Source organism: Homo sapiens, chromosome 7 (assembly GCF_000001405.40).
Source record: "Homo sapiens chromosome 7, GRCh38.p14 Primary Assembly".
Classification (NCBI taxonomy): Eukaryota; Metazoa; Chordata; class Mammalia; order Primates; family Hominidae; genus Homo; species Homo sapiens.
Window position 1 is genome coordinate 99,649,300 of NC_000007.14, and position 12,197 is coordinate 99,661,496.

Below are 12,197 nucleotides of genomic sequence, written 5' to 3' on the forward strand. Positions count from 1 at the left end.
CACAAAGTGTACTTAAGGGGTAGAGTTGCATATTAAATACACCGGTCCTGGAAATAAGACTTATAGGCTATTGCTTAATATGAATCAATGACATCTGTTCTTTAACTTCTTCAGAGAAAAGATTCTAAATCTTTCTTTAAATGTATCACCTGGAACATAAGGTCAAGGAGTAAGGATAGCCCTGCTCTATGGTAGTCCTTCATATCCACCAGAAATGCCTGAAATTAGTCATTCTCCACCTTGGCTTCACGTGAGAACTAATCAGGGGTTCACCCGACAGCATGACAGAACCTAGTCACGCTCTGGGTTAATTAGTTTAGAATTTCTGAGATGTCACAGGCATCATGAATTTTTGAAGCTCCCTGGTGATTCCAATATACAGCTAGTGGTTGAGAACCACTGTCATGAGAGAGCTTCTGCAGGTTCTGGTGATGGAGAACACCATTTAAGTCACAGCCAGGTAATCATTGCACTTCATGATTGTGCAAAACACTTCTTTCCAATTGACTTGAAACTGAATTTAAACTTACTCAGGTTCAAAGAGACTACACATAATCATGTCATGCTAATCTGTGTGGACTTTACATGATGTTCTTAATGCTACAGGTTTTGAAGTCCAGAACTGAAGCATCCTTAATGATCAAAGATGGATCCAAGTAGGTTCTTTGGCCCATAGAATGAATTATTAAAAGATAAACATGCATATTCTTTTAAAAAATATATACCCTTCAGTTAAAAAAATTCTTAATAAAACATACAGAAAGTGTACTGACCTGTGTTTCTTTACAAGGTTTGAAGGAGAAGTTCTGAAGGACTCTGATTAGAGCAAGTTTCATGTTCATGAGAGCAAACCTCATGCCAATGCAGTTTCTGGGTCCAGTTCCAAAGGGTGTGTATATGTAAGGATCTATGCTGTCCTTCTTCTTACTGAACCTAGTTCCATATTGGTAGATTAAATAGTTAATGAAACATAAAAACCACAGAGTTACATGTTAGGGGTTCTTACTTAAGAACAACCCCCCTCCACCTCCCAACCAGTAGTACACAGGATACTTTTGTGGGCTGGTCATTGAAATCCTGCTTTGGTTATTTCGTTATAATCATCATAACCTACAGGTCCTTTAAATTCTCCATACCCTATAGGAGCGTTTCTTGAGATGAGATGAATATTGTTGCAAATAATATTTATCTCTAAACACTAAAATTATATTCAGGGTGGTGATGTGTTCACACTATAAAAGGCACATAAATGATAAGACTGATGGATGGAAAAGTGGATTCCTGCCTCAACTCACACTTGTGTTGGTCACATGCTCATTGAGAAAGGAGAAGGAGAAAACGTCTTGTGCTATTTCAAGTTGTTATTTTTCCCTTTCCTTCTCCTGTCATCTCTTTTTTTCTAATTCCCCTCCTCCTCCTCTCTACCTTCCCCGTCCACCTTCTCCTCTGCCTCCTTCTCCTCCTCCTTCTCTTCCTTTTTCTTCTCTCCATCTCTTCCTCTCTTTCTCCCCCACACCCTTACAGGATAGTTTAAGTCACATAAGTTACATGGGCATATGATGCTACCCTACTGTAGTGTCATCCCTGCTTTCCTTGATCTGTTCCATTAAGCTATAAATTCTTTGAAGATTGACCCATGTTTTATTCAAATTTGATTTCTAAATATTTGATTATATTAAGGAAAAAATGTTGATTCAAAGAAAGTAATAATGGCATTGTTGTCATATGTTTTTACAGGAGTCTTTATATTTTGGAGAGCATTCTGAAATATTTACAGGCTATTGCTTCAAAATAACATGATAGTCAGGAGGAGGGTGATGGTGGCATTTGGATGGGGCAGCTAACATGGATTGATGGCTGTTGGAACCAGTGATAGATATATGGAGATGCACGAAAACTATTCTATAGGCTGGTGTCGGTAACATGTACTTGTGTATATGTCAAACATTCTCTAATATATATATACACACACATATACGTATATATCACATGAATTTATGGATTTATGTAAATCATATGGATTTATGGATTTATATAAATCATATGAATTTCTCCCTGCCTAGCCAAGTTCCTGACACATGGCAAGCACTATCTTTTTGGTGACTGAGTGATTCAAAGTGAAGTACAGCGAGTGGTCTCTGATTTCGTATTAGTGCAGCCACAGGAGGTGGAAGTGCTGAGCTTGCAGGAAACATAGAAGTCCTCTACTCCAGAAAACAGAGAACTTGGTCAGCTCTGACTTACTCTGTGAACAAGTATTATGTGCAGACTCCATGCTAGCACTAGGGACACCATGACCAACAAGACAAGGTTCCTCCCATCAGCAAACTTGCAGGTAGGGGCTAATGAAAGTCTAGATCCCAAGCATCCTGAATCACCAGCCAGTACCCTAAAAATTTCATTCTAAATTTTGCTTAATAATACAGTAATGGGAAAACACCAACTATATCCAGAGTGCGAACTGTGCCTAAGGCCTGACCTTGTCCCTGAATTCCCAGAAGAGCATGCTCAAGACACCTCCAAGGAGGAGTGTGTGAGATGTCTACTGAGAGTATAAGGGAGCTGGCACAGGACTGCAGCCACAGATAGGACCAGGAGGACCTGTGCTGTCTTGTGTCTTCAGTGAAGTGGCTTAAACCATTAGGGATGAGGACTTCTCAGGACCTCAGCCTGCACTCTTATAATTACTACAGAGGAAATAGCAAGTAACGTTGAAAGCAAATGGAATGTGGAAGCATGTTTTAAAGTTTCTGTTAAATTCAGAGAGCTAAAGGGCACAGCATAGAAAAAACAGAAAGGAATAAAAAGCCTATACACCTGAAATAACATCATGGTTAAATGGTTTATGGCATATGCAATATATACATATATATATATTTATATATATACATATATATGTATATTTATAGTAATATAGGTCAGTGGATAGTTTCCTGTTAAATCAAGTAAGCAGCAATTCAAACCAAATAAAAAGTGATACCATTCTAATTTTTAAAAATCTATATAGGCGTAGAAAAATGCCCACAGGGACATAATTGATTATCTTTGTCTTGTGCTGGGACTGTGGATGGATGTAGTTTCGTTTTTTCTAGTCTGTGGTTTGTAAAGTTTGATAATTATCACTTTTTTGTGATAAAAAGACTTACAAGCAAATGATTGTACAACCACACGATTGTCATGTAGATTAAGAGAGGCAGAATATGCTTGAACCAGCCTGGGTCAGGGTGAGCTCCATTTCCCTGGAGACTTGTACCTTTCAGGGCGGAACTCCTCAGGCTCTGTCCAGTACTTTGGGTCATGGTGAAGAGCATAAGTTGGAATCACCACCATTGACCCTTTGGGAATGAATACCCCATTGATTTCAACATCTTTCTTGCAAGTCCTCTCAAGTCTAATAGCAACTGGGAATAATCTGAGTGTTTCATTCACCACCATGTCAAGGTACTCCATCTGTACCACGGCATCATAGGTAGGTGGTGCCTGGAAGGAAAGAAACAGAATTGGATAATCTGAGATTTTGAATTAACTCTCAACTGAGTCCATGCAGTACTATTGAAGTATTAGAAGCTCCAGAGAATAACTCATACTGGTAAATGATCATAGTATTCGTGAAGTATTTTAATAACTGGCATGTCCATTGATGTGCTCAGTGACCTACTGAGATGTGTGGAGGAGTTATGAATGTAGGAGATATTCAAGACCATCCTCACCCCAGGGACTGAAATCCTTAGCATGACCATGTAGTGGTTTTTCTTTCTCATGGGAAGAAATGTGATTAATGGGGCTATGACCATTACCACCAAATAAAATACACCAAAGTCACTATCACCTTTCAAAAAGAGGTCACACATCTGTACCAAGAAAGAAAAACAGGGAAAAGAGCAAATATCCTCTTCACACAAGGATTATTGGTTGCAGAGTCCTGCTTGGTAACTCTTTTGAGGAGTTTGAGACCAGCTTGGGAAACATGGTGAAAACCCATCTCTACAAAAAATACAAAAACTAGCTGGGTGTGGTGGCGTGTGCCTGTAGTTCCAGCTACTCAGGAGACAGAGGCGGGAGGATGGCTTGAGCCTGGGAGGCAGAGTTTGCAGTGAGCTGAGATTGCACCACTGCCCTCCAGCTTGGGTCGTAGAGTCAGACCCTGTCTCAAATAAATAAATAAATAAATAAATAAATAAATAAATTTGTGGATAAACTTGTTCCTTTCTATCACAAATACGACAAAATAAATTTATGATTGGATGCTACCAAGGTACACAATTTGAGTTCTAGTTAAAGTTATGAAGAGAATAGAACCCCACACTCAGCCCCATCCCCTCCTTTTGGAATAGTTTCCTAGTTGTTGCTTCAGGGCTGGACTGTAATCTTCAGGACTGGATGTAAATGTCCCTTTGTGTCTGCCTCACAGCCACACCAGGGTCAGCCCCACAGGCCAGGTCTCTTCACACTAAAAAGAATCCCAGTTTGGGCAGAAGTCTGAAAACTGTGGATGATATGTACCTAGCACTTGGTGTTATATTTGGGAGGCAGTATTGTAGAGGGTTAGAGTTTAGCTCAGGAGTCAGATACCCTGGTTCCTAGCTTGGCTTCTTGGCCAGTGGCTACCTGACTGGAACATGAGACAGGTGTGGGGAGAGCTGAGTCAGCCTCCATCGCGCCCCCAGGGCCAGGCTACCTCAGACCATAGCCAGACCAGAGTGAGTCCAGTCAGTATCAGCAGAACTCACTATCCAGTCTTGTGAGCAATAAATGCTTCTCATTAGATGCCACTGAGGTTTTTGAATTTTTTTTTTTATACTTTAAGTTTTAGGGTACATGTACACAACGTGCAGGTTTGTTACATATGTATACCTATGCCATGTTGGTGTGCTGCACCCATTAACTCGTCATTTAACATTCGGTATATCTCCTAATGCTATCCCTCCCCACTCCTCCCACCCCAAAACAGGCCCCAGTGTGTGATATTCCCCTTCCTGTGTCCATGTGTTCTCATTGTTCAATTCCCACCTACGAGTGAGAACATACAGTGTTTGGTTTTTTGTCCTTGCCATAGTTTGCTGAGAATGATGGTTTCCAGCTTCATCCATGTCTCTACAAAGGACATGAACTCATCATTTTTTATGGCTGCATAGCATTCCATGGTGTATATGTGCCACATTTTCTTAATCCAGTCTATCATTATTGGACATTTGGGTTGGTTCCAAGTCTTTGCTATTGTGAATAGTGCTGCAATAAACATAAGTGTGCATGTGTGTTTATAGCAGGATGATTTATAATCCTTTGGGTATATACCCAGTAATGGGATGGCTGGGTCAAATGGTATTTCTAGTTCTAGATCCCTGAGGAATCACCACACTGACTTCCACAATGGTTGAACTAGTTTACAGTCCCACCAACAGTGTAAAAGTGTTCCTGTTTTCTCCACATCCTCTCCAGCACCTGTTGTTTCCTGACTTTTTAATGATCGCCATTCTAACTGGCGTGAGATGGTATCTCATTGTGGTTTTGATTTGCATTTCTTTGATGGCCAGTGATGATGAACATTTTTTCATGTGTCTATTGGCTGCATAAATGTCTTTTGAGAAGTGTCTGTTCATATCCTTCCCCCACTTGTTGATGGGGTTGTGTTTTTTTCTTGTAAATTTGTTTGAGATCATTGTAGATTCTGGATATTAGCCCTTTGTCAGATGAGTAGGTTGCAAAAATTTTCTCCCATTCTGTCGGTTGCCTGTTCACTCTGATGGTAGTTTCTTTTGCTGTGCAGAAGCTCTTTAGTTTCATTAGATCCCATTTGTCAATTTTGGCTTTTGTTGCCATTGCTTTTGGTGTTTTAGACATGAAGTCCTTGCCCATGCCTCTGTATTGAATGATATTGCCTAGGTTTTCTTCTAGGGTTTTTATGGTTTTAGGTCTAACATGTAAGTCTTTAATCCATCTTGAATTAATTTTTGTATAAGGTGTAAGGAAGGGATCCAGTTTCAGCTTTCTATATATGGCTAGCCAGTTTTCCCAGCACCATTTATTAAATAGGGAATCCTTTCCCCACTGCTTGTTTTTGTCAGGTTTGTCAAAGATCAGATGGTTGTAGATATGTGGCATTCTTTCTCAGGGCTCTGTTCTGCTCCATTGATCAATATCTCTGTTTTGGTACCAGTACCATGCTGTTTTGGTTACTGTAGCCTTGTAGTATAGTTTGAAGTCAGGTAGCATGATGCCTCCGGCTTTGTTCTTTTGGCTTAGGATTGACTTGGCAATGCGGGCTCTTTTTTGGTTCCATATGAACTTTAAAGTAGTTTTTTCCAGTTCTGTGAAGAAAGTCATTGGTAGCTTGATGGCGATGGCACTGAATCTATAAATTACCTTGGGCAGTATGGCCATTTTCATGATATTGATTCTTCCTACCCATGAGCATGGAATGTTGTTCCATTTGTTTGTATCTTCTTTTATTTCATTGAGCAGTGGTTTGTAATTCTCCTTGAAGAGGTCCTTCACATCCCTTGTAAGTTGAATTCCTAGGTATTTTATTGTCTTTGAAGCAATTGTGAATGGGAGTTCACTCATGATTTGGCTCTCTGTTTGTCTGTTATTGGTGTATAAGAATATTTGTGATTTTTGCACATTGATTTTGTATCCTGATACTTTGCTGAAGTTGTTTATCAGCTTAAGGAGATTTTGGGCTGAGACGATGGGGTTTTCTAGATATACAATCATGTCATCTGCAAACAGGGACAATTTGACTTCCTCTTTTCCTAATTGAATACCCTTTATTTCTTTCTCTTGCCTGATTGCCCTGGCCAGAACTTCCAACACTATGTTGAATAGGAGTGGTGAGAGAGGGCATCCCTGTCTTGTGCCAGTTTTCAAAGGGAATGATTCCAGTTTTTGTCCATTCAGTATGATATTGGCTGTGGGTTTGTCATAAATTTGCTCTTATTATTTTGAGATAGGTTCCATCAATACCTAATTTATTCAGAGTTTTTAGCATGAAGGGCTGTTGAATTTTGTTAAAGGCCTTTTCTGCATCTATTGAGATAATCATGTGGGTTTTGTCGTTGGTTCTGTTTATATGCTGGATTATGTTTATTGATTTGCGTATGTTGAACCAGCCTTGCATCCCAGGGATGAAGCCCACTTGATCATGGTGGATAAGCTTTTTGATGTGCTGCTGGATTCGGTTTGCCAGTATTTTATTGAGGATTTTTGTATCACTGTTCATCAGGGATATTGGTCTAAAATTCTCTTTTTTGGTTGTGTCTCTGCCAGGCTTTGGTATCAGGATGATGCTGGCCTCATAAAATGAGTTAGGGAGGATTCCCTCTTTTTCTATTGATTGGAATAGTTTCAGAAAGAATGGTACCAGGTCCTCCTTGTACCTCTGGTAGAATTCGGCGGTGAATCCATCTGGTCCTGGACTTTTTTTGGTTGGTAAGCTATTAATTATTGCCTCAATTTCAGAACCTGTTATTGGTCTATTCAGAGTTTCAACTTCTTCCTGGTTTAGTCTTGGGAGAGTGTATGTGTCGAGGAATTTATCCATTTCTTCTAGATTTTCTAGTTTATTTGCATAGAGGTGTTTATAGTATTCTCTGATGGTAGTTTGTATTTCTGTGGGATGGGTGGTGATATCCCCTTTATCATTTTTATTGCATCTATTTGATTCTTCTCTCTTTTCTTCTTTATTAGTCTTGCTAGCATTCTATCAATTTTGTTGATCTTTTCAAAAAACCAGCTCCTGGATTCATTGATTTTTTTGAAGGGTTTTTTTGTGTCTCTGTTTCCTTCAGTTCTGCTCTGATCTTAGTTATTTCTTGCCTTCTGCTATCTTTTGAATGTGTTTGCTCCTGCTTCTCTAGTTCTTTTCATTGTGATGTTAGGGTGTCAATGTTAGATCTTTCCTGCTTTCTCTTGTAGGCATTTAGTGCTATAAATTTCCCTCTACACATTGCTTTGAATGTGGCCCAGAGATTCTGGTATGTTGTGTCTTTGTTCTTGTTGGTTTCAAAGAACATCTTTATTTCTGCCTTCATTTCGTTATGTACCCAGTAGTCATTCAGGAGCAGGTTGTTCAGTTTCCATGTAGTTGAGCGGTTTTGAGTGAGTTTCTGAATCCTGAGTTCTAGTTTGATTGCACTGTGGTCTGAGAGACAGTTTGTTATAATGTCTGTTCTTTTACATTTGCTGAGGAGTGCTTTACTTCCAACTATGTGGTTAATTTTGGAATAGGTGTGGTGTGGTGCTGAAAAGAATGTATATTCTGTTGATTTGGGGTGGAGAGTTCTGTAGATGTCTATTATGTCCACTTTGTGCAGAGCTGAGTTCAATTCCTGGATATCCTTCTTAACTTTCTGTCCTGTTGATCTGTCTAGTGTTGACAGTGTGGTGTTAAAGTCTTCCATTATTATTGTGTGGGAGTCTAACTCTCTTTGTAAGTCTCTAAAGACTTGCTTCATGAATCTGGGTGCTCCTGTATTGGGTGCATATATATTTAGGATAGTTAGCTCTTCTTGTTGAATTGATCCCTTTACCATTATGTAATGGCCTTCTTTGTCTCTTTTGATCTTTGTTGGTTTAAAGCCTGTTTTATCAGAGAGTAGGATTGCAACCCCTGCCTTTTTTTGTTGTCCATTTGCTTGGTAGATCTTCCTCCATCCCTTTATTTTGAGCCTATGTGTTACTTTGCACGTGAGATGGGTTTCCTGAATACAGCACACCGATGGGTCTTGACTCTATCCAGTTTGCCAGTCTGTGTCTTTTAATTGGAGCATTTAGCCCGTTTACATTTAAGGTTAATATTTTTATATGTGAATTTGATCCTGTCATTATGATGTTAGCTGATTATTTTGCTCGTTAGTTGATGCAGTTTCTCCTTAGCCTCGATGGTCTTTACAATTTGGCATGTTTTTGCAGTGGCTGGTACCAGTTGTTCCTTTCCATGTTTAGTGCTTCCTTCAAGAGCTCTTTTAGGGCAGGCCTGGTGGTGACAAAATCTCTCAGCATTTGCTTGTCTGTAAAGTATTTTATTTCTCCTTCACTTATGAAGCTTAGTTTGGCTGGAAATGAAATTCTGGGTTGAAAATTCTTTTCTTTAAGAATGTTGAATATTGGCCCCCACTCTCTACTGGCTTGTAGAGTTTCTGCCGAGAGATCCACTGTTAGTCTGATGGGTTTGTGTTTGTGGGTAACCCGACCTTTCTCTCTGGCTGCCCTTAACATTTTTTCCTTCATTTCAACTTTGGTGAATCTGACAATTATGTGTCTTGGAGTTGCTCTTCTCGAGGAGTATCTTTGTGGCGTTCTCTGTATTTCCTGAATTTGAATGTTGGCCTGCCTTGCTAGATTGGGGAAGTTCTCCTGGATAATATCCTGCAGAGTGTTTTCCAACTTCGTTCTATTCTCCCCGTCACTTTCAGGTACACCAATCAGACGTAGATTTGGTCTTTTCACATAGTCCCATATTTCTTGGAGGCTTTGTTCCTTTCTTTTTATTCTTTTTCTTCTAAACTTCTCTTCTTTCTTCATTTCATTCATTTGATCTTCCATCACTGATACCCTTTCTTCCAGTTGATTGAATTGGCTACTGAGGCTTGTGCATTCATCACGTAGTTCTCGTGCCATGGTCTTCAGCTCCATCAGGTCCTTTAAGGACTTCTCTGCATTGATTATTCTAGTTAGCCATTTGTCTAATCTTTTTTCAAGGTTTTTAACTTCTTTGCCATGGGTTCGAACTTCCTCCTTTAGCTCGGAGTAGTTTGATCGTCTGAAGCCTTCTTCTCTCAACTCGTCAAAGTCATTCTCCATCCAGCTTTCCGTTGCTGGTGCGGAGCTGCGTTCCTTTGGAGGAGGAGAGGTGCTCTGATTTTTAGATTTTTCAGTTTTTCTGCTGTTTTTCCCCCATCTTTGTGTTTTTATCTACCTTTGATCTTTGATGATGGTGATGTACAGATGGGTTTTGGTGTGGATGTCCTTTCTGTTTGTTAGTTTTCCTTCTGACAGTCAGGATCCTCAGCTGCAGGTCTGTTGGAGTTTGCCGGAGGTCCACTCCAGACCCTGTTTGCCTGGGTATCAGGAGTGGAGGCTGCAGAACAGCGGTATTGGTGACCCGCAAATGCTGCTGCCTGATCATTCCTCTGGAAGTTTTGTCTCAGAGGAGTACCCGGCCGTGTGAGGTGTCAGTCTGCCCCTACTGGGGGGTGCCTCCCAGTTAGGCTGCTCGGGGGTCAGGGACCCACTTGAGGAGGCAGTCTGTCTGTTCTCAGATCTCCAGCTGTGTGCTGGGAGAACCACTACTCTCTTCAAAGCTGTCAGACAGGGACATTTAAGTCTGCAGAGGTTTCTGCTGCCTTTTGGTTGGCTATGCTCTGCCCCTAGAGGTGGAGTCTACAGAGGCAGGCAGACCTCCTTGAGCTGCGGTGGGCTTCACCCAGTTTGAGCTTCCTGGCAGCTTTGTTTACCTACTCAAGCCTTAGCAATGGCGGGCGCCCCTCCCCCAGCCTTGCTGCTGCCTTGCAGTTCGATCTCAGACTGCTGTGCTAGCAATGAGCGAGGCTCCATGGGCGTAGGACCCTCCGAGCCATGCGCGGGATATAATCTCCTGGTGTGCCGTTTGCTAAGACCATCAGAAAAGCGCAGTATTAGGGTGGGAGTGACCTGATTTTCCAGGTGCTGTCCGTCACCCCTAGGAAAGGGAATTCCCTGACCCCTTGCACTTCCCAGGTGAGGTGATGCCTCGCCCTGCTTTGGCTCAGGCTGGGTGCACTGCACCCACTGTCCTGCACCCACTCTCCAACAATCCCCATTGAGATGCACCCGGTACCTCAGTTGGAAATGCAGAAATCATTCGTCTTCTGTGTTGCTCACGCTGGGAGCTGTAGACTGGAGCTGTTCCTGTTTGGCCATCTTCTCGCCACACTCCTTTTTTTTTTTTTTTTTTTTTTTTTTTTTTTACTTAGCATTATTGTGATAACAGTAAACAGGTGAACCAGGGCCAGCAATATTGTACAAAGATCTTATGCTTCTGCCAGTAGCAACCGTTCTCTATGTTTCTCCCTTTGTTTTTCTCCTCAGAGGCTTCCTACATTATGTCAGTGAAGGAATCAGTGATTATGCTTTTTATAAAAATTCTCCTGGGGAGTGGTGAGGAGGCATTTTTGCTAAGGCTTCACCTCTTCCCTTCATCTCCAGGGGTCATCCCCTCACCTTATTGGGCAAAACTGCATCAATCTCCTTTTGCAGTTTCTGCTGGACATCAGGGTGAGTGGCCAGTTCATATAAAGTGAAGGAAAGAACACTGCTGGTGGTTTCATAGCCAGCAAAAATGAAGATTATTGACTGGGCTGCGAGCTCCAGATCAGACAGAGCTGAAAGGAGAGGAAAGACATTTTAGGTAAATCAGGTCAACGTACAACATCACAGCTTAGATGAAATCTAAGTGAAGCTCTCTAATCCCAAGAAGAAAAAATGGAAAAGCAATTCAAAGTCACACTGGGAGTGGTTTTCATTCTGATATGTATCTTATACAGGGCCAGGATGACGCAAAATCATTTTAATCCAGGTTTTCCCAAGGTCTACATGATTGTGGGCCACACACTCCTCATCATGGCATCCCAGCACCAGCACTGCTGTAATTTCCAGAGAGAGCATTTCTGTCTTACATACTCAGTGTTATGGGTGTGTGCCTTGAATGATCCTAAAAGTACTTTATCTGTAAGTAAATATGGGGTAGGCTTTTTCCCAATAAAAATTTGATTTTCTACAATAGAGCTTGACAGACTTTGAGAGAATTCCAATATAGCTTGACAAACTTTGAGAGAATTTGCAATATTTAGGACCTTTTCTCTATATATGTTTGAGGGAACTTAAAGGACCAATACTGAGCTACAGATCACCTCTTGCTACTCAAAGTGTGTTTCATGGACCAGCAGCACCAGCCACATCTGGGAGCTTATTAGAAATGCAGAATCTCAAACCCCACCATCGAACTACTGAATCAAAATCCAAACTTGCAGGAGATATGGTGATTTGTGTGCACAACCTCACTTAAGCAGCATGGATTACATCTTTGACAGGCATCAGGCAATACAAGATCTAGGGTACAGTTCTCAGAATGGACTATCTCAGGATGTACAAGACAGCAGAGATAGACAAAAAGCCAGAAGCATGGTGATTGACTGTAGTCTGATGAATGGCATTAAAAT

The 12,197-nt window shown here is 41.0% G+C and overlaps 2 protein-coding genes across 15 annotated transcripts in view; one reads left to right on the forward strand and one right to left on the reverse strand.

Annotated features, from left to right (window-relative positions):
* The window catches only part of ZSCAN25 (zinc finger and SCAN domain containing 25), a 121,090-nt gene that overhangs the window by 32,354 nt on the left and 76,539 nt on the right, over nt 1-12,197 (forward strand). The window lies entirely within an intron of this gene.
* CYP3A5 (cytochrome P450 family 3 subfamily A member 5) overlaps nt 1-12,197 on the reverse strand; it is a 31,803-nt gene that overhangs the window by 1,106 nt on the left and 18,500 nt on the right. For all 4 annotated transcript variants that reach the window (NR_033807.3, NM_000777.5, NM_001291830.2 and 1 more), the window contains 3 exons: nt 11,200-11,360; nt 3,254-3,480; nt 774-933 (listed from right to left, as the gene is read on the reverse strand). Coding sequence is in view for 3 of the 4 variants with exons in the window: in NM_000777.5 (NP_000768.1) it covers nt 774-933; nt 3,254-3,480; nt 11,200-11,360 (548 nt within the window). In the remaining variant the exon portion in view is untranslated. The remainder of the gene's footprint in view (nt 1-773; nt 934-3,253; nt 3,481-11,199; nt 11,361-12,197) is intronic.